This window comes from Homo sapiens, chromosome 8 (genome assembly GCF_000001405.40).
Source record: "Homo sapiens chromosome 8, GRCh38.p14 Primary Assembly".
Classification (NCBI taxonomy): domain Eukaryota; kingdom Metazoa; phylum Chordata; class Mammalia; order Primates; family Hominidae; genus Homo; species Homo sapiens.
The window spans coordinates 109679081-109706844 of record NC_000008.11 but is presented as its reverse complement, the minus strand read 5'-3'; the positions used below and the strand labels follow the sequence as shown (position 1 = coordinate 109706844).

At 37.9% G+C, this 27764-nt stretch overlaps 1 protein-coding gene across 4 annotated transcripts in view; it reads left to right on the top strand.

Moving 5' to 3' along the window:
- The first annotated feature begins 15244 nt into the window (after positions 1 to 15244).
- Positions 15245 to 27764, top strand: part of SYBU (syntabulin) — a 117623-nt gene continuing 105103 nt past the window's right edge. For 2 of the 4 annotated variants that reach the window (NM_001099743.2, NM_001099744.2), the window contains exon 1: positions 15245 to 15512. The gene's annotated coding sequence lies outside the window, so the exon portion shown is untranslated. Of the gene's footprint in view, positions 15513 to 25878; positions 26135 to 27764 lie in introns of those variants that run through there. The other 2 variants (NM_001099746.2, NM_001099745.2) reach the window with 1 other exon arrangement.

Sequence of the window (27764 nt, the reverse complement as noted above, 5' to 3'; positions counted from 1 at the left end):
GCCGATGATAATAAAACTAAGTATAAATTTTTGGGAAGATTGGCAGTATACTAATTAAAGCTGAATATATCTATAGTCATCAGCAATCTCCCTCCTAGGTATGTCTGCATTGGAAATATGTGCATATGTTCACCAAAAGACATGTAGAAGAATATTCATTTTACTTTCATCATAGCCCAAAACTGGAAGCAACCCAAATGTCCCTCAGTAGTAGAAAGGATAAATACACTTTGGTATATTCATACAGTGGGATACTATACAGCAATGAGAATGAACAAGTGATAGCTACATCCTAAAACATGAATGGATTGCACAAACTTGATATTGAGCAGAAATAGTGAGACACAAAAAGTACATTCTGTATGAGTCCATTTTATGAAATTCAAAAACAGGCAAAATGAATCCACAGTGTTGGAAGTCAGAATAGTGGTTAACTTTGGGAGAAGCAGTGACTGAAAGGGGCATAAGTGGGACTTCTAGGATGTGGTAATATTTTGTCTTTGATTTGGGGGCTGGTTACATGAGTTTAATCGCACTTATGATATTGTACTTTTCTGAATGTAGTCATACTTCAAAAACATTTTTTAAATTATTCATGACAGTAAATGTAATATTAATCTGTTATTAGGGCAGCATTTTATATTTACAAGCTGTTTTCATACATGCCATCCCATTCAGTTATCTCTTTAATTTATTAATTCACTCATTCATATCCCAAAATTTAGTATCTTATATATGCAGGGAATTGTTCTAGGTGATGCAAGCAACTCAAAGGTTAATAATACATGGTTATTAGCCTCTAAGAGCTTATAGAACTAAAAATTTGAAGACATGTCTGTAGTGCAGCTACAATAATTTATTGTTTAAAACAATGATAATTTATTGTGTCGCCTGGGTACTGGGCATTGTACCTTAATATGTACATTACTGGCAGTCTCTCATATTTAATAACTTCAAGAAAAATATATTTTTAATGTCATGCTTACTTTCTCCTTAAAACATTTAATGTTATATGAAGGAAAATATAATAAAATTTACTGGAGAAAAGAAAAGAAATTTGCCTCCTGAGGGGCAATGTGAAATGCAAATGTAAAATGCAACACAACAGCCTTCTATCTTCAGTGATTCCATTAACTAGTTCAGGGGATCAGATGATGAATTAAATTGACTTACAGACACAGGAATATTATATAACTGTAAATTCCATTCCAATATTTGTTTTAATTTGATTATTTCATGTCACAACACCTAAAAGGAACAGTGTACTAGTCAAAGCTTATTTCCCAAAATTCAACGAATTTCAACTTTTCAAATAAAATATCATGCTGAAAGAAATATGAGGAAATAAGTGAATTAATGCAGAAATGAAGAAGCAAGTAAGCATGTTCTCACTTATAAGTGGGAGCTAAATCTTGGGTTCTCACATACATAAAAATGGAAAAATAGACACTGTGGACTACTAGATGGGGGAGGAATGGAAGGGAGCAAGGGTTGAAAAACTAACTCTTGGGTACTATGGTCAATACCTTGGTGACAGGATCAATCACACCACAAATCTCAGCATCATGCAATATACTCAGGTAATAAACCTGCACATACACCCCCAGATCTAAAATAAAAGTTGAAAAAAAATGGCAGAAAAAAAGAAATATGAGGAAAGCTGTAAAACATGACTGTGAAGATGATAGTATGGTATAAGTATTTTGAAGAAAAGTATAAGTCTTCCATTTAATAAAAAGTGGGTTTAACAAATGCATAAATCTCCCCTGAGTGGGTTTCAAAAAATGTGACAATTTGCAAGTTTTATAGCATTTTAAATGACACTTTCAAAAGTATATGAATATATTTTACAAGATAAATCCTGTAAAACCCATGGAATTTCAGATTCCCAATTCTGTACCTTTTACTGGATATTTGAGTGGTTCTATTTGTTCTGTTGGTAACATTTCATTGATTTTACCCATGTTTGGTCCATTCTTAAAGTATATATTTTCTACTGTGAGTTTAGTCCAATACCTTGAAACAAAATGGTAGTCTATAAACATCATATGAAGTCATCTGCTGTAACTACATCATTTACTCGGATTTTATTATGTGATGTTTCAGGCACTGTGCTAGTCACAGATAAAGCCACTGAATAGCTGTAGGTACCTTCTATAGGGGCAGGGAAACTTGGAGCCATCATGACTTGGAGGGGCACTCTTAAGGCCTGAGAGGCAAGAACACAAAGTTCCATGCACTGTGCTTAGTACAGGAATACAAAAACTGAGGGGTCCTGCTTCAGAAAAGCTCACAGTCACTGGAAGTGAGTGGCATACAAATGCATGAATATGTGTGGGATAAGTATATTATTTAAAAATATTATTAAAAAGGTATAATAGAAATCAGAAAGATTTCCAAGAAGCAATACTAGAACTGTTGGTGAAGGCAGACAAGGCCATTCACGGCAGAGAAAACTGCATATGAAAAGTGTAGGGGAAGTTATCCACTCTCTCTTTGGAAGCTCCTGTTTCAGATCATCAACAGGGACTACGGAAACTGAAACATGACTGAAAAATATGTCAGATAATATGATTTTAAAAGAATAATGAAACTTGGAGAGTAATTTCATCCACTCGTTGATTCACTCAACCGAATAACAATGTTTGAATATCTTTGATTGTCAAGCCTTGTGCTAGACAGTGGGTATACCAGGATAAAAACAAAGTCCCCAAAAATCTTATTGTCTAGCAGAGGTGGCAAAGATAGAATTACTGCAATATGATGCACTAAGTCCTATGATACAGTTAACATCAGGGTGTCAAGGAAGACTTCCTAAAGAAGAGGACGTCTTGAAGAATTCATAAGAGTTCTCTCACCGTTTTGTGAGAGAAGATGTGGCATGGCTGAGAATTTGGAAGTAATTCAATATGGCTGGAGTGTATATTGTGAGGTTAGAAAGAGTGGAACGTTGAGCCTGGTGAGATAGACAAGAAAACTAATGAAAATCCATGTTAAAATGTCTGGATTTTATTCAAAATATAAATTTCTCTGACTTCAAATAATTTCAAGTGCTGCATCCAAGAATCTGCAGCAGAAAATGCAAGATGACGTAGAATGCCAAATAACCCATATGAATTCAGCCTCATGTTTGCCCATATATGATCAAAGATTCTGGTTAAAAATAAACTGGTTTAGACCCAATCCTAAAAATATAGGAGACCTCTTACTGATCGGGCAGATGTAACTCCAAATATTTACATCAAATTTATTTTGTCTGTTGCAGGAGTTGTTTTTGATAAATCATCTCAAGAAAGTCTACGAAGATGACATTAAGGGATTTAGACAAATCTAACTCTATACCACATTAATTTAAAACAATACAAGTAAAACCTATAAATCTTTTAAAATCATGGATGAGTAAAATAAAGAATTACCACACTCAACAGGAACAGTATTTTGCTTTCACTACAAAATAGTTAGGGATGACTATCTTTTAATAACCATGCCCTCTAACTATTTGATTATATGATTCCTGGTTAAGGGAATAGTCATAGTGAAGATTGTAAGGAAAAACATTTAAATATTCTATCCCTTTTTCTAGCCACATTTCCACATATTTAATTTCTTTCATACTCTTAGGATGCTGGAAAAAAATCTACAACTGAGTGGTTTCAAAACACCACACATTTACGATATGCAGCCTCAGCTGGCCTAGGCTCCATGCCCTGACCAGAATGCCTTAGTCAGCTCCTTTTCTTACTTCCCTCAGCAGCTTTGCCAAACTTTCACCTCTTTACCCAAGTCTTTTTATTCATTTGCATCAAATTGCCTTGCTCTTATTCACTGGATGTAGGAAATGAGTGTGAGAGGTTACATTTGCAGTCACCTAAAGACTGCAAGAATAGCAGACAGCCAGGGAAAACCACATTTAAGGAATAAGTGGATGGTGATTTGCCCTTAGAAAAGACTGAAAAAGGAGAGGATAGAAAATTAGAAGGTAACCAGAAGTTTTATTATTACAAAACCAAAGGAAAAAAATATTTTTAAGAAAGAAGTAGAAAGCAGAACCAAAGGCTGCAATGAGATTAAGTGAGTTAAGGGCCGAAAGTGTTCACCGAATGTGGCAATGTTGTGATCACAGAAAGTAGTGAATTTATTTTAAATACTTTCAACTGAGTGATAAGAATAGAAACCAGTTTTTAATTGGCTAAGCAACAAATAAGGGTAACAAAAGAGGAAAGGCAACGTGATACTACTCTTTCAAGAAGGTTGTTGTGAAACAAGGTGATGTCATGACTGATGAGAGGAATGGAGAACTAAAGGAAGGTTATGGATATGGCAATGGTGGTGATTGTGGTAAAGCTGGTGAAGTAGATAGCAGAGTTGATGTTGGAGGTGATAGTGGAGGTGATATAGGTGGAGATGGTAGCAGCAGTGGTGGTCTTGGAGGTGATAAAGGTAGTGGGAATGAACATGGTGGAGGTGGTGGAGGTACAGTGGTCACGGGGTGGTGATGGTTTAAATGATGATGAAGGTGGTCAAAGTGATGACAGTTAAGCCAAAGGTAATGGAAATAGTAAAGGCGGAGGTGATGGTGGTAGTGGTGGTGATGGTAGTAATGATAGTAGAAATGAAAATAGTAGTTTAAAATATAGGAAACTCTTGAGTATGTTTAGCCACTAAGGTAAAAAAGCCAGTAAGAGAGACAGAATAGAGAAAAAGAATAATTGAGTAGGCCCCAGAGGAAAATAGACAAAGAAGTTACAGCACCGATAGAAGAACTAAACTGCAAAACCATCTTCCATAGTTAAAATTCCCATACCAAACTACCTGCAGCCCTCCAAATGTATCATGGGGTCCTATGCCTGCCGCTCTGCCTTTGTACATGGTGCTATATCCTCTATCTAGGACACCTTTCTCCCTGTCATGTCACCATATAACTCCTACTCTTTCTTCAAAATAGAACTCAGAATCTACCTCTTCCAGGAAGCCTTTCTAATTCTCTCTCCCAGCTTAATTAGGATGCCTGTTCTCTGGGCTTTCAGAATACATTGCACATGGTCCATCACAGGACTTTTCATACTATATTTTAATTGTTTCCATCTCCACTGGAATCTAAGATTCATGAAAGTGAATACTGTGCTGTGTTTCATTATGTTTTCGTTTATTCATTTAACAAAACTGATGTATCACTATTCCTAATTATAAAAACCTATTGAGCATTTATCATATGCCAAGCAATGGTGGGAAAATTTCAACCGATGACCTGTTTTTATAAATAAAGTTTCAGTGGAACACAGTCACACCTATTCACTTTCATATTGTCTATGGCTACTTTTACCCTGCAATTATGAGGTGAGTATTTGTTACAGAGACTGTGTACTCAGATCCTAAAATGTTTACCATCTGACCCTTTACAGAAAAAGTTTGACAATTCACGGTTTAACCAATAAAGATATAATAATGACTCAAAAAAAACCACCAGCAGTTATAACATAACATGATATGTATTTTGGTAGTGGAAAATAAAGTGCTATGGTAGCATATAAGAGAAGAACTTAATCTACACTTTGGGATATCAGATGTGTTCCTAGCATCTAGCACTGTCTAGCATATTACTAGATGCTCTATAAGTGGACCAACTTTTTTCAAATGGGAAAGTTCACTTAGGACATGAAATACTTGACTAAGATGCTAAGGGAGATGATGAGACACCATTCCAAAAAACTGTTAGTATTTCTACCACAAGGGAACTAAATTAGGATCTCATTTAGTTATAACAAACAGTTCATTGTAAAGCTAAGTCATCCAGATATTTTAAGTTTGTGTGCTGTTCCAAATAAATAAGACCCATCTTGGGTCTCCCAGTGGGAACTCTGGTTCTGGTGCCTGGACCAGAGAGGGCAACTTTAACACTTGTTGACAGCTGGAAGACCTACATAATCTTCATATTGTTCTTTAAAATCCTTTGAGAAGCTTTTATTGTGAATTTTTATGTTAAAGTGTATCCTAAAAATGTGACCTTGAAACCCCCTTGGTTTCTCTTTATTTTACAAATACATCTACCCACCCATCTCCACACACACATTTTATGGCCTATATCATCTAACATATAACATGTACATCTATATATATACACATCCCATATTTCCTTCACACATATACTATACAGTTGATCCTTCAACAACTAGGAAGTTAAGGGTGCCAGCCCCCCGTGCAGTCAAAAATGTATGTATAACTTTTGGCTCCCCTAGACTTAACTACTAATAGCCTACTGTTGGTTAGGAGCCTTATAAGTAACCTAAATAGTTGATTAACACATATTTTTTGTGTAATATGTATTCCATACTGTATTTTACAATGAAGTAAGCTAGAGAAAAGAAAATGTTATTAGTAAAATCATAAAGAAGAGAAAATACATTTACTATTCATTATGTAGAAGTAGATCATTACAAAGGTCTTCATCTTCATCATCTTCACACTTAGTTGGCTGAGAAGGAGGAGGAGGGATTGGTCTTGCTATCTCAGGGGTGGCAGAGGCAGAAGAAAAACATGTATAAGTGGACCTGCACAGTTCAAACCCATGTCGTTCGAGAGTCATCTGTAATCTCATATTTTTAAGAAATATGTATATAACTCAAATCTAATACATGCAAACTTCTAGTTTTATTCATCAGAGATGGCAGATAGGGTTTCATAGAAGGGTCAATGCCAGTTAGTTACAGGGGTTGCCTGTGGTGCTGTGTTGAGAAAGCTTGTGAGGCCACCTTTGACTGCATAAGAACTAGAACTATAATTCACTATTGCTGTTTGCTTTGGATACCAGAGGTGAAATGGTGGACATCAGTCAACTTATTTGCCATCTCATTCCTTAAGGATATCACACATTGACAGATTTCTTAAATGTAATGTACTCTTGCCCCAAGCTTATCACAAGACAGTGATTAGCTCTCCTAAGAACTGAGGCAGGTGAAAAAGTTTGTGATGTTTACCACCTTGATGAAGAGGATAAGTAAGAGTAATAATAACTTAGGTTTGAAAAGCACTTCATTAATTTCAAGGTATCCTTATGGGTTTCATCTCACTGAATCTCTGCAACTTTCTCTATTCTACAGATTACAAAGCTGAAGTCAGTAGGGCTTAGTGAAGTCAGTGGGGCTTAGTAACTCATCTGTGATTATGTGGAATTCTTGACAGAGATAAAACACAGGTTCTGACTCCTAAATGTGACTCCTGACCTTAAGGGACAGAAGACAGTCTCCCAGGAATTGGAGGTAGCTCACTGCTCTGAGATGAGAGTGATTATGTTTCATCACATATTTTTTAACACATTCATGCAGTCAATATTCATTGAGTGCCTACTACATTCATTAAGTGCCTACTGTATGCAAGGAATAATCACAGAGATTATGAGACTTGTTTCAAAGTTTTTACAAGATGTTTTGGGGAAAAATACAAGACAAGAACTTATTAAAACATTAGAAATATCAAAACAAACAGTCAATAACAAATATAACCATCACTTTCCATGGGCCAGGCAGTGACAGAGACATAAATAAGAAAAAAACAAAATGCCTAATGCTAAGGAGCTCACAGAAATTTTTTCTTAATTCTCTGAATTAATTACCTTAATTCTCAGTCTTTTCAATAATTTGATGTCCATACAATCACCTGGGAAGTGTGTTGAAATTGAGGATTTGATTTATTTGATGGAGGGTAGGCTCCAAAATTTATCTAATGCATGTGGTATTGTTCTATGACCCTCACTGTAAAATACATTATGAACTCATTCAAAGAGCCACACTGGTTGGATAAAATGTAGGAACTGGTTTACTGGTTCCTGATTTGCTGGTCTCCAGTCTAGTCCTCAAAATTCAGTGCCAGTGTGTAAACTCAAAGCATTAGTCTCATAAAACTCAACCATTTGTGATGCTGTTCTACAGTGGTAACTTTTACAATTATAAAAATCAAATCACCAGGCACATTTTGGAACCAGGTAGCTAGGAGGGCCACCAAGTTTAACATGGTTATACCGAGTTAAAGAAAAGCCGCAGCTGGCCTTCTTTTCGTGGTTGCCATTCAGCTCTCTGTATCTTTACCTATAATATTTATATCTTCTATATCTTTCTTTATGTATATGTGTATAATCACACTGTGAAAAAATACATTGGTGCTTTAACATTGTTCAATACCTTTTGCATAACCTTTATAACTATAGATGACCTACCATATAATGCCCTGATCACAGGTCTACACACATATATGCATCATCAACAAACTGGGGGTGGGGGGCTGCCCTAAGCCTTTCATATCCATAACTTTCAAACTCACTAATTTGCTACTGAGTTTTCCCTTAACAATTGCCTTAATAGCCTTGATTTATTGTGCATTGTTATCTTGATTTGCTGTGCATAAAATTGTTAAAGACATTCATTTCAATTTGATATGAACTTACTCCTTTGCATGAAGACACGACACTGTCTAAGCGCATCTACATTGTGACAGAAGCTGTATAGTATGGCCTTGTTATTATGAAGCTGTTAAAATAACGTGTAGCGGAATAGCCACTAATAGGTATAATTACATGTAATGTTTGGTGGGAAAATTAAGCTGCAAAACAGGGAATCTCATTTAAAAATATATGTATGTCATTAGAATATATACATATGTCATATAGATAAAATTTATATTCATAGAAAAATATAGAAAAAATTATAATTATGGTTACGGCAGAGAATGTGATTTTTATTTTCTATTTTTTATCTTACATTTTCTATGCTTTCTATAATGTATATAGTCTTGTGACAAAAAATATTATTTACCATAGTATATTCAGTAACTTTCCATTTTACTTTAAAAGTTGTATGAAAAAGGCTGGGCACGGTGGCTCACACCTGTAATCCCAGCCCTTTGGGAGGCAGAGGTGGGCAGATCACTTGAGGTTAGGAGTTCAAGACCAGCCTGGCTAACATGGTAAAACCCCGTCTCTACTAAAAATACAAAAATTAGCCAGGCGTAGTGGTGGGCACCTGTAATCCCAGCTACTTGGGAGGCTGAGGCAGGAAAATCCCTTGAGCCCAGGAGGAAGAGGTTGCAGTGAGCTGAGAATGGCCACCGTGCTCCAGCCTGGGTGATAGAGTGAGACTTCCCTACCCGCACCACCCCCCAAAAAAAGTTACATGGAAAAGATACATATTATTAGTATTTATCTTTGAGTGAGAGATTACAAAGGATTTTTTCTTCTTTATGCTTTTCTGCATTTTAAAACTTTCCATAATGTACTTGTTTTTCTTTACTTTAGAAAAATCAAATACAACTATAAGGCAAACTCAGTGCCAATTGATAGAAATTATTCTTTAAAGGTAGAACATAAAGTCACCGTGAAACCTGGGTGTTCCGGGGCATTAGAGGGCCTTTTTGATCATAGACCTTGAGGAAGACTATACTGAAAATCTGTAATATTTGGCTTCATTATTTCCTCTCTAAATTCAAAGTTTGTTTTACCTGAGAAGAACTTACAGTAACTGCTACCACAGCACTAAATAAAGATTATGGGAGTTATATTTTCTAACATGCCATAAAAAATTACACGATAAGCAAAAACAGGCACTCTAGATAATTTTGATGAGAAAATCTAAATTGAGTGATGGTTTGCACACATATCTTAAAAAACAGACATATGAAGAAGCCATTATCAAGTTCAGCTCAGAAGTTGGGGTTATTTGGACACATAACACACTAATAAAAGCATGTTCCTCCAGAGGAGCCGCAAGTCGCATCTCATCAGCAATCACTGAAATGGATTTGAGGCACATTTGTGGGCCTTAACACAAGGAATAGAAGTGTGGCCATAAACACCTTCATTTTATGATGGCAGACATATGATTAAAGCCTCAAAACGGGAAAAGATTCACTCTCCTCTTTGACAAGATCCGTTGCTATGGTGATGGTCTGCTCGGCCCTGGCGGAGCGCCTTCAGGTGGCTTCAGTTTTGGAAGACAAGCTAGGTCATGTTTGAACCACCTTGCTTACACAGCAACCGGACAACAGAAAATCGCTTACATTTAGGAATGAATTATTCACTTAAAAATTCCATTGCTGTAAAATTTTCTATGTGATGAAGACTGAAATGTTTACCTCCAGTGTGGAAATTTCTGAGCTCCAGGCTTCCACTCAACAACTCCATCTCCCATTTTAACTTCTTTAAAACAGTGATTAGTGCCTGAAATGACCTTGTTTTCTCGCACTCCTTTTATCTAACTCTGTCTATTAGAATATCATTTATTTGAAGGCAAATATACTATTTTGTTCATCACTATAGTCCTAGCATCTAAAACTGTGCCTGACATATAATAGCCACTCAATAAATTTTAATTGACTGACGCTGCCTGTTCTCATGATACCATTTTTTTTTTTTTTTTTTTTTTTTGAGACAGAGTTTCACTCTTGTCGACCAGGCTGGAGTGCAGTGGCGTAATCTTGGCTCACTGCAACCTTCGCCTCCCGGGTTCAAGCGATTCTCCTGCCTCAGCCTCCGGAGTAGCTGGGACTACAGGCATGCACCTCCACGCCCAGCTAATTTTTTGTATTTTTAGTAGAGACGGGGTTTCTCCATGTTGGTCCAGCTGGTCTCGAATTCCCTACCTCAGATGATCTGCCCGCCTCGGCCTCCCGAAGGGCCGAAATCACAGGCATGAGCCAACATCCCCAGCTCCACTTTCTTATTTTAGAATTTTCAACAATATTCTTAAGAATGTAATGTGATTGTAGACAGTTTACTTTCTCTGGGCATTTGTTTCCTCATTTACAAAACAGGGGAAATTAACTAATCTATACATTTCTTATCTATGCTAAAATTTCATGACTCTTATGTGTGCAAAGCTTACCTGAATTATAAAATATTCATTTTCCACTTCATTCACTGTGTTTCTAATGAGTTCTTTTCTTATTTTCATGTACAATAATGTATACATAGTTACAGCTCACAAAGCACTTTTGTTTCCACTATTTCCTTTGACACTTACTTCAAATTCCCGAAGAATGATAGTACTTACTATTTCTGTTTTCCGGATAAGGATTATAAGCTCAGAGAGGGTATACGACTTCAGCGTGCATCTCATTTCACTAAATGTGTCTGTTATGAATAAAAGTTGTTCGGGTGGGGCGCAGTGGCTCACGCCTGTAATCTCAGCACTTTGGGAGGCTGAGGCGGGTGGATATCAAGGTCAGGAGATCGAGACCATCCTGGCCAACATGGTGAAACCTTGTCTCTACTAAAAATACAAAAATTAGCTGGGCGTGGTGGTGCGAGCCTGTAATCCCAGCTACCCAGAGGCCGAGGCAGGAGAATTGCTCGAACCCGGGAGGTGGAGGTTGCAGTGAGCCAAGATCGTGCCACTGCACCCCAGCCTGGCCAAAGCGCGAGACTCCGTCTCAGAAAAGAAAAAATAAAAAAGTTGTTGGCTAATATTTTAATACTTGTAAAATCATGATGTAGACCCAGGAATTTTAATAAATAATCTTTTTTCAAAATAAGTTTTCAATAAATATTAGTCAGCATATGTGTGGTTTAAGGGAGTCTAACACTACTGCATATTTAATACACAAAAGACCTACTGTATTCCCAGCACATGACCAAATCTACTCCCCCTACATCCTGCAGTAGCATCTAATATTTCTCCCATTGGACTTATTCCTTTGAGTGAAAGCATTGCCTCCAGAAAGCCTCTACAGTGGGTAGGAATACAAAATAATCATAAGTATTTAGCTTCAAATCCCCATTGGACAATTTAATAGCTTTGTGATTGTCAACAAGTCATGGTCTCCTTTTTTGCATCAGCAAAGTGTATAGGAATAACTACTTTCTTAAGAAAAATGTAATAATTAAATTAGACAACATAAATTCGTGCTTAGTTTACAGTATATACTCAGCAAATGTGAATTCCTCCCCATTCTGTTACCTTGGAGGAGTAACATATCAATCTATTCACACTTTAGTGAACAAGTCTTAAGGAAATACAGAGAGAGAAAGGAAAGATAAGATAGGCTTGGAATATGGTACTGGATATAGATTACTGAATAAGTAAATTATAGATAGATCTTAAATATTAATTCTATTAATTATTAATAAAATATTAACAATATTATTATTTATTATATTAATTATATATGGCTAATAAAATCAATAATTATTAATATTATTCATATTTTTGATAGAAGCAATGAAAACTGAACTTTAAGTATTTTTAGAACAAGAAAATTACACCTTAACTCTAGATAAGAAAGACTAGCATTTCTTTGCAATCACTTTAACTGAATTTGTTTTCCTTTAACTTTGGATTTCTTATATGAGCATGTGGCTTCTGGGCATCATTTGACCCCTCCAACTTGTGAGCTGCTTATTTAGCACCCTTCTCAGGTCTTAGGAAGTTAAAAGAAGGAATTTTCTTTAGTCTAATTCAAATCTAAAATCTAGGGGAAAACAAGTAGGAATAGGGAAGGTTTGTAGTTGTTGTTGTTGTGTTGTGTTGTGTTGTGTTGTGTTGTGTTGTGTTGTGTTGTATTGATAGCCATGAGGAATAAGTCCTGGTTTGGAAACATATGGGTTTTGGGAAGAAGTTGGGAGTCAAAAAGGAGAAAAAACTGAAACCCAAAACTAAGGAAGCATGACTGATATAACATCTAAAAACCTGGATTAGATCATCTTTTAAAGTCCCGCAATCTCCACTCCACTCTGCAATCTGCAATTGCATAAACTCCCCAATTTAAACCTTCCTCCTAAATGATTTCTACAACTGTTTCTACAATTACATTGTATTCTTGGAATTCCAGCAAAATTTGAGTTCGATTATTTGTGCTTTGATATTCATCGAGAGGTATTTACTATATTCTCAGTTTCAGAAGGTCCTCTTATAGAAGATACATCGTGGAGGAAGTATGTAGACAAAGAGCAAGGAAGAAAGCGCCTACATATGAGCCTCCTCCTTTTATTCCACAGTACAGTCAGGACTGTGGCCAGTCTGATGAAAACCAAAAACAAGATTTTTCCCTTTCCTCTTTCTATCTTCTAGTCCACTTGACCATTCCCGCTCAGGAACTCCATGTCTGCCCTTTCCTCTTCCCTATTTTACCACCCTCACCCCTACCCCTCCCACCTCTCTCACATATACACTCTCGGTGCCCTTAAGTCTTCAGAATAAAAATAGAATGACATTTCCTTCCAGATAGGTAGCAATCCCCATTCTAAAGGAAACTGTTTACGTGCAAGGGCATGAGACTGGTTATCTTTAACCTAATAGTCTTACATTTTCATAGCACTTTGTGTACACTTTTTTTTTTAGCTTCACAAATGATCTTATAAATAACTAGTTGGAATTCAATAAAAACAATCCAGGAATACCTGATGCAGAGGTCCTGGAAGCCTGGATTATGGATAGAAGGAAGACAGAAAGCCGAGTTCCTAGAGCATAGTTCGAAGAGAACATAAGCTAATCTGGTGAAGGAAATATTGAGCAGAGAGCAGTTTTGACCAAAGCCAAAGGAGGGCACTTATATCCCTTTAAGGCCAAAGGAGGATTAAACTCAATGGTTGGACTTTGAATAGAGGTAGAAGGGGAGGGGTGGGGAGGGAGGGAAGGAACATACTAAGACCTCCTATGTCACAGTTTGGCAAAGAGGGAAGGGAAGGGAAGGGGAGGGAAGGGGAGGGGAGGGGAGGGAAGGGGAGGGGAGGGGAGGGAAGGGGAGGGGAGGGAAGGGGAAAGAAAGGAGAAAAGAAAAAGAAATTGTTGGGATGGGTTGCATTGTGTTATGATATGTATTTTCAGTGGGGGAGGGATTTCTAGGGCTTAGAAAACACTACAGAGAAGAAATCTTCACGTCTAAGCCTTACAGTGAGAAGTAGAAGAGATGACCAGATAGCAAAAATGAACTGGAACTAAAAATGAAACGCTTAATGCATTTAACATGTGCCAAGTTAAGTAGGAATATGAGATTGTCGGGTTTCCATTGCATAAACTTGCGCTGCCAAGTTTCCTCACACATGAATGTAAGTAGGTTGGACTTTAAGCTAACTGTGTGCTAAAGGCTAGTGAATACAGTAAGGAAGGGAGGCAGCGAAAGGAGAAGGGGTAGGATGCAGAAGCATCCCTTCCTTTTGTGCAGAAACTTCCTTCAGGGGTGAAAATGAAGAGTAATCTCAGAGTAAGCAAACAACATCAAAAGAATCTCACCTAGAAGAGTCTTTAGCCAAACTGTGGTAGTGACTCTTTCACCCTTAGCTATGATAGGACGATGTAACTGGATTCATCATGAAGAGCCTTAGGAAAGCTAGGCGTTCTTTATGGGGCTACCTGGCTGGGACTCTGGCAATTCTGAGGGAGAAAGCCCCTTTGCAACAGTCTCTTTAGAAACCTATTTTCCGAGAAAAGCAGGTAGTGGGATTGATTATTAAGTTTGCATTTGGACTAAGAAATTAGAACACATTATCCTTTCCAGTCTGGGGTTCCCGTCAGCCCTACCTAAAGTCAAAACAAATTATATCTCTATTGCACTTGCTATTAAAGAAGTCTGGAGAATTTTTGTTAAACCCAATTGCTGCTATCTCCTGAGAACTAGAAAGTGAACAGCCACATTTATCCCCAGATCAAAGATCAGGAAACTTAGACAGAGACACACTGTTCAGATGAGGCGCCCAAGGTCACTGGTGAAGTTAGAAAGAGCTTGAAGCTGCAGGTAAGTCTTCGCCCCCTAGTTTTGAGCCGCGCCTCCTTAGCTGTCCCCAGACAGGCAGGCTGTGGTCGCGAGATAAATTTTCCCAGGGAGACTGTCCTAAAGGGCACCTTAGGTTCACGCTGAAGTCAGTGTTCAGGGCTCTTCCTCTCCAGCGTGAGGACAAGGGTGCTCCTTAGCAGAGGGGTGAGTGAAGACCTCGAGGGAGACTGGGGTCCCAGGCCCTCAGCCGCCCCCGGGGATCCGCTCCAGATTGTGCAACGCAAGCCCTCCTGGCCTCCGCCGGGGCTCCCTCATCTGGCAGGAGCCCAGAGTCTCTGCAGCGCGCCACCCACGCTGAGAGCGGCTTCTTCAAGAAACAGATCCTGCAGCATAATCTGCCAGGGCCCTGGCAACAGGAACCGGTCCTTCAGGCAGCGAGCCCAGGGAGCAGAATCCTGGCGCCCCCGGCGCGCGGCCCTCAGCGTGCTCACGCCGCTGCGCCCCACCCAGCGGTGCCTGCCCTTTGGTCCCCCGCCCTTCTCTCCATTTTGTCCTCAGCCCCAGCAGCCGCCCGGCTGGCTGCAGAGGCCGAGGGGCCGAGGGCACCGGAGCGCAAGGGATTCCGCGGCACCACGTGTCCAAGCCGGGCTAAGGCGGGCGGAGCGGGCCGGGCCCGGCTCCCCGGGCCTGAGCGCAAACCAGCAGCGACGCGGGGTCCCGTCCGCACCGGCACCCGGCCCAGCCGGGGCCCGGTCTCCCGGGCGCACGTAGGTGCCTCCTCCTGGACAGCGCGATGGGGCCCTTCTGGGCGAGAAAGGGTAAGACCGGGGCGCCTATGCGGTCTCTGCTGTCAGTGCCCGCGGACACGGGAGGGCAACTGATGGTCTTCGGTACAATGAGGGCAGTGATGGGGCGCTCCGGACCCCAGGACCACCCTTTCCAATGCGGGAGGTATCCAGGGTGCTCGGCGATGCACAGAAGAAGGTCGTGGAAAATGGGGAATCAAGGGCACTCTCAGCACATGGAGGCCAAGGGAAAGGCCCTCCTGTTTGATTGGTTTGATTGGTTGTTGAGACGGTCGGGCTGGACTCCTTGTTGCAACGAGCAAGATTAGCCAGGCTAATGTATAGGCCGTCGGTTTTGAATCTCCCTTTACTGGTTGTTCTCAGGAGTGGGTTTGGAAATGGTGGCTTTTGATAAGGAAGGTTCATTAAGAATAGGTGTTCTCCAGGAAGCCTCCATTGAGCTCTCCAAAGAGGGAGACAGTCCCAAGTCCCCAGAGGACACTTTTCAAGTTTCTGCTTCCTGGAGAAACTTTCTTAAAGACTATTCCAGGTGAGAAAGGATGAGCCATTTTCCATTAATGTGCTGTTGAAGGGCTACGTTGATGAGCTCAAAACCTCCTCATGGTGGGTGGTATCAACAGGTTTGGATTTAAAATAGAGGTAAATTGTACAGTAAAAGATATCTGTGAGCTTAATTTAGTATGTGGAAAGAGATTCTGAAAGCTTTTTAAATGAAAGAAGCTACTGGGGAAAATCGGAAAATCGTTGCTTTTATCTTCCCCAGTGTCCAGCAGGTAGTGCTATCAAGGAAAACAGGAGACTCCACTGCTAGGTTCCTCTTGCGTCCTCTGGCCCTGACCCCAGAGCCTGTGCAGCAGAAGCAAAGGGCAGCTATAACATCTGGATATCTCTTCTCAGAAAAGGGCCACATTTGAACCCTACAGATCAGAATCTTCAACTTAAAGTTTCTGCCAGATCAGATTCTTCAGTAGGCACATGTTAGGAATGTTTGCCTTTTCCTCCCCATAGGGCGCCCTTGGGGCAAAAGGAGTCAGGTATTCTCTATGCCAAGTTTTCTCCACTTGTACATTTGGAGAGCAGTAGCACCTGTCGCTGAGAGATGAGCCCAGGTGAAATCATTTTTTTTTATATGCTTCAGATTTTAAAGCAGCAATACATTATCATAGTGCAGATTTTGATTGCTTAATTTATTTTACAATAGTACTATTTTAATGCAGAATATATTTAAAATACGCTCTTCAATTCATAATGATCTGTACATATTTAAATAATATTTTATTCACTTTATTTGTATTTAATAGTCTTTAAGGTGATATCATAATTGAAACTAAGTAATTGTATGCATTCATAAATGCTGATGCACTGAACAAAAAAACAAAAAATGGGTCCAAAACTTTATTTTTACAGATGATCTACTGAGGCTTGCAGAGAGTAAGTGAGTAATTTAGCCAGTGGCACACTTAGAACCAGCTGTCTCTAATAGTCATGGTTTTTTTTTTTTTTTTTTTTTTTCATATTGTAGTAACAGTAGGTAAAAGATAAGCACAAAAGAGTAATACTACAAACTAGTAGTTGACAAGGTTTGGAGATGGGATGAGGGTGAGAAGAATGTGACACTAAAAGTGTAGCATGAAGGAGATCTTTGTGAGGATGGCATAGATGTGTATCTTGATTATTGTGGTTACACGAATCTACATATAAGATAAAATGACAGGCCTGGCATGGTGGCTTGCGCCTGTAATCCCAGAACTTTGGGAGCCTGAGAAGGATGGGTTGCTTGAGTCCAGTAGTTTGAGACCAGCCTGGACAACATGGTGGGACCCCATCTCCACTAAAAATACCAAATATAAAAAAAATAGGTGGACATGGCAGTAGGTGCCTGTAGTTCCAGCTACTGAGGAGGCTGAAGCAGGAGGATTGCTTGAGCCCAGGGTGCAGGGAGCTGTGATAGCACCACTGCACTCCAGCCTGGGTGACAGATCAAAACCTTGTCTCAAAAATAAATTAATAAATTAATTAAAGAAAATTTTAAAAAATCATAGAGCTGTAAACAGGCATTGCACCAATGTCAGTTTTCTGGCTTTGATATGATACTGTAGTTATATGATATAACCGTTGGGGAAGACCCGGTGAAGGGTACATGGGATCTCTCTGTACTATCTTTACAACTTCCTGTGAGTCTATAATAATTTCAAAATAAAGAAACTGTTTTTACAGTCATTTTGTAAGTACATCAAATTCCAACATTGGCCATTTTTCTAAATCTGAATGTATACAAAATATTTCATTTTACTATATATTCTAAGTATGTAATACATACTTAAAATAGTTATGGTACAAACTAACACCTGCATATAACTTTATTGATATTTAAAAGACCATACACACCGTTAAGATGTAACTAATCATGCTGGAGTATCAAATAGCATCTTAGCAATAGGTATTAATTTCATTTTAGTCAATTTCTGTTTATTTAAAATTTTGGAAAACAAAGAGAAAGTGTTTTATTTAAATAGTACTTGTGTGAAAATAACAGCTGGTGTTTTTATTTTCTTCTCTCTCTTTTTTTTTTTATCTGTGTAAAAATACTGAGGTTTTGAGTCTGCATCCTTCTTCTTAGCAGGATGTTTTCTGTGGTTCAGGTGACAGAACCCAGAGATATCACCAAGCAGACATGATAGACGGGATAGGATAGAAAAAAAAAGAACAAAACTGATGTTCATAAAGATACCTCACTGAAAGAAATTAGGAAAGTAAATTAAGTTATTTGAAATATCTGAAAAGTCTTTTATGGATGTTCAGAGCCACCCTCACCAACATCAGGGTGTTTTTTCTTTGGGGTTGGCCACCAATGGCAGAAGTCCCAGAATACCTAAATATATCCCCAAAGAAAACAGAGACTAAAGCTTCTGTGGTCTTGTAGACCGACAGCAGGTACTGGCAAAGGAAAGAAAGGTTCCTGTGTACACACTTCTGACAAAAGAAATGTTTTGTATTTCCAGTACTTCAGAACTTTCCAGAACTTCAGTTTTTCTAGTATACTTCACAATTTTTATCATCTCTGAATATGAATCATACTATTTACTTATTCTTACTTAAATTAACACATTGTTTTTTTACTCAGATTTATCAAAGGAATAATGCCCACCTATGAAATAATGTTTCATCTGTTAGTTACATTTCTCCTAATATGTACAAATAAATATATATTATAGCTTTATAAAAGACATCCATGAACCACCTAAAATTATCTGTGTACCACCTAATGTATCAGGAAACACTGTACAATGACACAACCTTGGGAGGTGCTCCAGGACCTGATGATGAGGAGAAGCCTAGCTATACAGAGTAAGTAGAGAAAATATTAAATTAAAAATGTACCTCTAGATTATTTTTCCTATATGGTCTTGTGAATTGTCAAAATGTGGTTAGAATGAGTACTTCTATTGTTAGAGCAGTCCATTTAATTATTGGGAAGATCCATTTATCCTTATATTGAGAGTAGATGTGAACTCACCTAATTACCTCTACTGTATCTCTACTGTCACCCAACCAAAAATTCTCTATAATAATACCATGTGACATTTTGCCAGATGCCTCATCAAAGTCCATATGCTTTGCCAGTTCTAACACTATCTGTAATAAGAGAAAAAAAATCTAGACTTGGTCCAAGTAATTCTTAGAAGCCCAGGATGATCTCTGTCACTTTTTTCTTTTCTAAGCACCCAGAAACCAACATTTTATTAACTTGTGCCAAAATATTGCCCAATATTTCATTTCAGCCTCATCAATCAGTGTTTTACAGGCTTTCCCTTCTCTCTGGCTTTTGAAAATCAGAACTATATGCTTGGCTTCTATATTTCTAATATCTTGGAATCCCATGCTCAGGGTGCTTCATAGACATTAACAGTGGTGCCATAATTCTATTTGTATGAGATGAGATTGTAAAGCCCAGTTCATAACTTGTTAAATGTCTTAAGAGAAGCTAGTGACATGACTTGACCTGAGCTTTATTCTCTTTTGCCAAGTTTTATTTTTTCCTTTTTAGTTTGGAAATAATTTTTACTTGACAGAGAAGCAAACGAGTCACTAGAAAGTTATGTGTTCTCTTAGTTTTTCATCAGTATTAAATGAACTGTAACAAGTAGTGAGTTTATACTTTTCTTTTGCTTCTTACTTAAAATATAAAGTGAATATTTTTCTATTTCTTATGGTAAGCCATAGTTCAAAATTAGAGTCCAGTCTTCTTGAAACTGTGAACTGAAGTTTTACCATATCAAATGTTCTTGGGACCAGAACCTTAGATTTTTCCGTTTTTTGCATTAATAGTAGTGGTATTTATTATCATAATATTTAATTCAGCTTTTAAATTAACCAAACATCATTATTTTATCTGAAAATGGTGGGATGTGAGAGAGATTACAAAATAAGAATATTCCAAATGACCTTCTAAGTAAAGATGTGCAAGTTGAATACAGAAAGAGAAAGAAGTAAGAAATTATCTATTTCTCTGAAAATAAGGAATGAAATATGAATTTAATCTCAGAAGAGTACATATTTTCTTATTCCCTAAAGAAAACTGTGAACCTTTGGTGACCCAACTAAAGACAGTTTTCTGACTTAAAAACCTTAAAAATCAATTTAGGTTCAACTTATTAACTGTGAGAATGTTCTTCCCAAGGGCAGAACTGATGTCTTTGGTAGTATAAATGAAGAATGGGTGGAAGGTAATATTAACCTGTTCTCTTCCTTCTTTCTTGATTTAACCTGTGCCTGGGGAAACTCAGTTCATAATTTCATCAATTTTGCACCATTAATACACACCAAATTAACTTTAAATGGTATGGAATGATAGTCTAAGTGAGTAGGAGCCATTAAACCTAATGACACTTAAATGTATTCATCACATTGATGCGTGTCTTTTAAAGGGCCATTATGTTTTTCCACAAGAGAGAAGGGGTTTGAAAGCGTAAACTTTATATTATCTATATGAACATTCTTTAGTATCCATTTGGTTCTTAAAACATATTAAAATGGAAGGTGGCTATAATAAAGTTGTTTTTAAATTTTAATCAAAGGGGAACATTTCCTGTCGCTCCCAAGAGTAAGGCTGTCGGGGGGTGCTTTGTCCATGGTGCTGAAACGGGCTCTTCCTCAGTGACCTCACTACAGAATTAGGTACAGAAAGAAAAAAAAAAAAGGCATTTCTTCCAGTTAATGACTTACAAGAATACAAATATTGACTTTAAAAATTATGTATTCTTCAGTTTTATAACCAGCATGGAAATAGAATTTGCAGACATTACTAGCTTGTATATTTGAGTGATGTGCTTGTAGGACGAATTGACAAATATTTGTTTTTAACCTATCTGAAGTACAGCTTGGAAATTTTTATCACTTTACTCCTACAATTTCTTGATTCATTAAGTTAATAATATTTAAAGGTTGTCAATTTCTATTTCTTTTCTAAAAACTCTTCATTTCGTAATTTTTTAGTCCCATAGTATTGCTTTGTCTCTGACTTTTATTACAATAGATACTTTGGACATTTTTCATATAATTTTAAATAAAAATTATGCCTCCTCAAATAATGAGCCATTATTTCCATTACTATTTATATGTTTGTAGAATACTTATTATCCATAACAAATTGTCAAGAAATACTTAATGCATATAATTGTGAGAATTATGAAGAATTTTTATATATGGCCCTTGCCCCTGAGAAACCTTAAATATAATAATTACTGCATTTGCATAAAAAATAAAATAACAACAACACAAAGCAGTGTATATTACTAGAATTTAAGGTCATTGAGGGACCGGACCTGTTTGATTTTTTATAGCTTTATCTCAAGTATGTAACACAGTTCCTAACTCATAGTGAGTGCACAAAAAGTATTTGTTAAATGCCATAGAACGTTAGTGAATGAATAAGTGCAAAAAGAGCTAGAATTGGTGGCACAAATCAGATGATGTTGATTTACAGCTACCCACTTAAGAAGAGGTATGCATTGTCTAATTATTATGTTACAGAAATTGATATACATTTATCTGTTTTCCTCCATGCATTAAATTATGAAAAGCAAAAATAAGTCTAACATGTTTTCGTGTATATTAAATGTTAGGTATTTTTTAAGTGTTTTACACATGCCACTTCACTTATTGCTCACTACAATTATTACAATTTCCTCTTTACAAATGACGAAAGTTAAGAGACTGTCTTAAGTAACCCAGTCGGTAATTAGAAATTCAGAATGAAACTCAGCCTGTCTAATGCTGAGTTTTTAACTATTACTATGCCAAACCCCCAAACTATCCTTCAGCATTAAAGAGCTTTTGTAATTTTCATGACATCATGTGAATTCTAGCTCTTTAGAAATCTTTCTCTTGATCTGTTTATGGAAGATCTGTTACCTAGGCAACCTTGCTTTTCTAATTAACAGTAGAGAAGTCATTTTCCTCCCTCTTCATAGCAGGCAAAAGGAAAATTTATTCATGGGGAAAAGCATAAAATCCAAGAGCCAGAGCCATCCTTTGGGTTTATGTAGAAAGAAGAGGAAGAAAAATGACAGAGTGGGAAAAGAATAGATAGTCCTCTCTACCCTCTACCCTAAGTTGGAAAGGTTTTGTGGGGACTCCAGTGATTATTCTCTAACAACTAGAATGTTCTCTCCTACTTCTTTTTGAAGTGAAGTAGCTGTGGCATGAAGTTCAGCCAAAGACTTTTGAAACAATGTTCCAGACAGAGGCTTATTTTTCAGTTTCCAACAAGACCAATATCAAACACCCTGAGCTAGATTGATAATGTTTATACAATTATATTAAACTTACATACAGATGTTTAATAAGCCCATTATATAATTTCCTTACAGTATTTCCCAGTCTGATATTTCTTATGTTTATGCCACATTTTTAAACCAAAACTTTTAAATCCAGCATCTATTATTCAGCTCTTACCACTAATGAAGTTTGTCCAGAAAACTTATCAATCATCCTGAACTTAACTCACTTATGATCACTTTTCATAAAGAAGTACAAAAAGAACAGATTTAGTAGCTTAGCTGTGTTAATCACATAAAATTCTTATCATTCTTAAATTTGCATCTGGACATCCAGCTAGAAACTTAAAAATGAAAGTTAACTAAGCCCAATAGTTCTGAAAACATTCCACATACTGACAATACCTAAACACTTATTTTCCTTATTGGAAAACACCAAAGACAATCTGATTTTCCTTGCTGAAATAATAATAAAGTTATGCATTAGGTGAAGTGTATTAGTTTGTTCTCACACTAGTAATAAAGACATATCTGAGACTGGGTAATTTATAAAGGAAAGAGGTTTAATTGACTCACAGTTACACATGGCTGGGGAGGCATCAGGAAACTTATAATCATAGTGGAAGAGAAGGCAAACACATCCTTCTTCACATGGTGGCAGTAAGGAGAAGTGCAAAGAAAAAGGGGGGAAGCTCCTTATAAAACCATCAGATCTTGTGAGAACACACTCACTATCATGAGAACAGTATGGAGGTAACTGCTCCCATGATTCAATTACCTCCCACCAGGTAACTCCCATGACACGTTGAGATTATGGGAACTACAATTTAAGTTAGGATTTGAGCGACGGACACAGAACCAAACCCTATCATTCTGCCCCTGGCCCCTCCCAAATCTCATGTCCTCATATTTCAAAACACAATCATGCCTTTCCAACAGTCCCCCAAAGTCTTAACTCATTCCAGCATTAACCCAAAAGTCCAAGTCCAAAGTCTCATCTGAAACAAAGCAAGTCCCTTCTGCCTATGAGCCTGCAAAATTAAAAGCAAGTAAGTTACTTCCCAGATACAATGGGGGTACAGGCATTGGACAAATAGACCCATTACAAATGGGAGAAATTGGCCAAAACAAAGGGGTTACAAGTCCCATCCAAGTTCAAAATCCAATATGGCAGTCATTAAACCTTAAAGTTCCAAAATGCTCTCTTTTGACTTCATGTCTCACATCCAGGTGATGTTGATGCAAGAGGTGGGCTCCCATGACCTTGGGCAGCTCTGCCCCTGTGGCTTTGCATGAGACAGCCCAACTCCTGGCTGCTTTCACAGGCTGGTGTTGTCTGTGGCTTTTCCAGGCACACAGTACAAGCTGTCAGTGGATCTACCATTCTGTGATCTGAGGACAGTGGCCCTCTTCTCACAGCTCTACTAGGCAGTGCCCCCAACCCCACATTTCTCTTCAACACTGCCCTAACAGAGGTTTTCCATGAATGTTCTGCCCTAGCAGCAAACTTCTCCCTGGACATCCAGGTGATTCCATACATCCTCTGAAATCTATGTGGAGATTCCCAAACCTCAGTTCTTGACTTCTATGCACCCACAGGCTCAACACCACATGGAAAGTGCCAAGGCTTGGGGCTTGCACCTTCTGAAGTCATGTCCAGAGCTGTACCTTAGCCCCTTTTAGCCATGGCTTAGAACAGCTGGGATGCAGAGCACCATGTCCTGAGGCTGAACACAGCAGGGGAGCCCTGGGCCTGGCCCATGAAACCTTTTTTTCCTACTAGGCCTCTGGGTCTGTGATGGGAGGGACTGCTGCAAAGATCTTTGATATGCCCTGGAGACATTTTCCCCATTGTCTTGGTGATTAACACTGGGCTCCTTGTTACTTGTGCAAATTTCTGCAGCTGGCTTGAATATCTCCCCAGAAAATGGGTTTTTCTTTTCTATTGCATCATTAGACTGCAAATGTTCAAAACTTTTATGCTCTGCTTCCCCTTGAATGCTTTGCCACTTAGAAATTTCTTCCACCAGATACCCTAAATCATCACTCTCAAGTTCAAAGTTTCACAGATCTCTAGGGCAGGGAGAAAATCCCACCAGTCTCTTTGCTAAAACATAGCAAGAGTGACCTTTACTCTAGGCCCCAACAAGTTCCTCATCTCCATCTGAAACCACCTCAGCCTGCACTTAATTGTCTATATCACTATCAGCATTTTGGCCAAAGCCATTCAACAAGTCTCTAGGAAGTTGCAAACTTTCCCACATCTTCCTGTCTTCTGAGCCCTCCAAGTCTCTAGAAAGTTCCAAACTTTTCCACATTTTCCTGTCTTCTTCTGAGCCCTCCAAACTGTTTTAACCTCTGCCTGCTACCAATTTCCAAAGTTGCTTTCACATTTTCAGGTATCCTCATAGCAGCACCCCACTCCAGGTACCAATTTACTGTATTAGTCTATTCTCGTGCTGCTAATAAAGACATATCTGACACTAGGTAATTTATAAAGGAAAGAGGTTTAATTGACTCACAGTTTTGGATGGCTTGGGAAACCTCAGGAAACTTACAATCATTATGGAAGGGGAAGTAAACATGTCCTTCTTCACGTAGCAGCAGTAAGAAGTGCCAAGCAAAAAGGGGAGAAACCCCTTATAAAACATCAGATCTCATGAGAACTCACTCACTATCACAAGAACAGCATGGAGGTAACAGACACCATGATTCAATTACCTCCCACCAGGCCCCTCCCATGACACGTGCAGTTTATGGGAACTACAATTCAAGATGAGATTTGGGTAGGGACACACCCAAACCATATCATGAAGTGACTGACATATTATTGATATGCTTTCCAGTCCTGTATATATCAGTAAATATCTAGAGGCTTGTAAATTAAATGTGTGATCGTTTGCTCCAGAATATTTTTTCCCAGTTATTGAATTACGTATGCTGTTATCCAATTATTGTATATAAAAAGAAGAAAAGAAACTTCATCATTTTTAAAGACCCTAGGAGAAGGGATGAGATAGCACATAACACATCTTAAATTTCTTCTTAAAAATTTGACATTACATAGCAATCCCTGCTTTACATTCCCTCTGTACAATGAAAAACAATATTAAACATAATTTGAAATTAAATTTTTCCTATACTTTAAAATATATCATGTTAACACATGAATAAGTTGCACTGCTAGGTTTTCTTTTACTCTTTATAGCCTTAACTTTTTCACATTATTTTTCATCCCATTATACTAAGCTTAATCTATATTTCACTCCCCTAAGGTATTTCTTTCTCCTTTTATACTAACTGCTTTTATGTACATTAATGAAAATTTTGCACGCCAAGGAGAAGAGGTGAAAACATTCAGACACACACTCTTGACTTCCTTAATGGACATTCATAAGAAGTGAAACATTTCTTTTCTCAGTGTCTCTAATATATGTTACAAATGAGATCAGGTTAACATTAATGTGACCACAAACTTCCAGCTGTTCAAATTTACACATTCATCGTGTTGCTCGTTTTACTAGTGCACAAGGGAAATACCATCTTCTGGGACTTTTCTTCCCATCAGGATATTTAAGCTGGAAGCTTTGTCAGGCTGCGTCAGTGTTCCCTGAGTAAGCAGGAATGCAAACTGCAATTTTAGCATTAGCATTCTACTTAGAACAAAGGGAGGTGCCCGGAAGCAGTACACATTAGTGCAGAGTTTTCTGGTTTCCCTTTAAAGAGAAGGCACAGCCATTTGACTCTTGAGCTTATTTAAACAAGTCACCAGTCCTTGACTCCAGAACTGAAGCTTTATATGTTCTTTCTATTTGGCTGAGCCAGTAATTTTTGATTGCTTCTTCTTCCCAAGAGGTAAGTTTGCTTGCTGTGGTAAGGGAGGTATATTTGTTTTGCTAAGGGGTTATATTCTTGTCAAAGATTTGTCGTAAAAATATTAAGGAAGATGTGGTTAACTAAATCACATTTCATAAAATGTTGCTGATATTCCAAATAAGCCTAGTTTTGGAGTTAGAAATGATCGGGAGAAAATTTAAGTTTTCAAGGGAGCATTTAAATAGCAAAGAATTTGTACAGTCTGACTGTACAATTTCCTGCAAAGAAATTGTAAATCATGTATTATAAAATTGTTCCTAATTTGTCATTTAAAGCTGTTTTCCTTTTATCAAACTGTACAAAACTAATTTCTTTCGGTTCTTCACTCTGAGTCTCTCTGATCCGATTGACCAGGAGAGAGCTGCTAACTATAGTAGCATGCTGCCATTCCTGCACTTGGCAGGTTGACAGTAGTTGAGCGAAGGAGTTTAAATTAGTTTCTATTTAGAGTTTATCCCAGATTATATAATAATTTTGTACTGCAGGCTTTGCTCTAGAATGTAAGTGAAAATTAATGCTCTTGATCTAGAAACATTTTAAATTGAATTAATTTGAATGTGATATGCTAGTTGTTTTGTAGTTGTACAAATTGAATACGTCTGTAGTATATGAGAGTGTATACGTGTTCTCCTGGTTGGGAGCTTTCACAGGTTAGGGTTGAAGTGCCATATCTGCTCTTAAGTAAATGTGTTGTATTATTTATTGCTAAACTATCAAGTATATACATTTTCAAAAACAGCTACCATGAAGGTAATGGTTTAGTTTAAAACTTGGAGACTCTTGCAGGTGAAACTGGATTTAAATACAGCTATTTTTCTTATTGGCTCCAATACCATTTGGCATTAAGTGGGTACCAGTTAAACTCCCACCTCAGCAAGAGGGGAAAGGTTGTTGGCCAGTGCTCTAAAGGCAGTTTTATCTCTAGCAAGACTTATAATATTTTTGCAGGCATTCAGAAATCTATCCTGAAATAGAGGTAATTATTGTTACTGTCAGAGTCATCTCGTTCCTAATAACATAGAGAGCTGTCTTACTTGTGCTGTCCTTAATTCCTCACACCTACCTGATGTCCCAAACCTCACCTTGTTTGAGGTCACTTAGGTGTAATAGCAAAGCAATTACATAAGAATAGTGCCATTATTGTGCGGACAAACTAAGAGCAATGTTTTCCAACCTTAACTGCACATTGGAAGATGTTACCAGAAAGGGGTCCCGATCCAGACCCCAAGGGAGAGTTCTTGGATCTTGCACAAGAAAGAATTCAAGGCAAATTCATAGAGTAACATGAAAGCAAGTTTATTAGACAAGTAAAGAAACAAAGGAATGGCTACTCCATAGGCAGAGCAGCAGCATGAGCTACTCGTTGGCTATTTTTATGGCTATTTCTTGATTACATGCTAAACAAGGGGTAGATTATTCATGAGTTTTCTGGGAAAGGGATGGGCAATTCCCGGAATTTAGGGTTCCTCCCTCTTTTTAGACCATGTAGGTTGATTTCCTTATATTGCCATGGCATTTATAAACTGTCATGGCGCTGGTAGGAGTGTCTTTTAACATGCTAATGAATTATAATTAGCATATAATGAGCAGTAAGGATGACCAGAAGTCA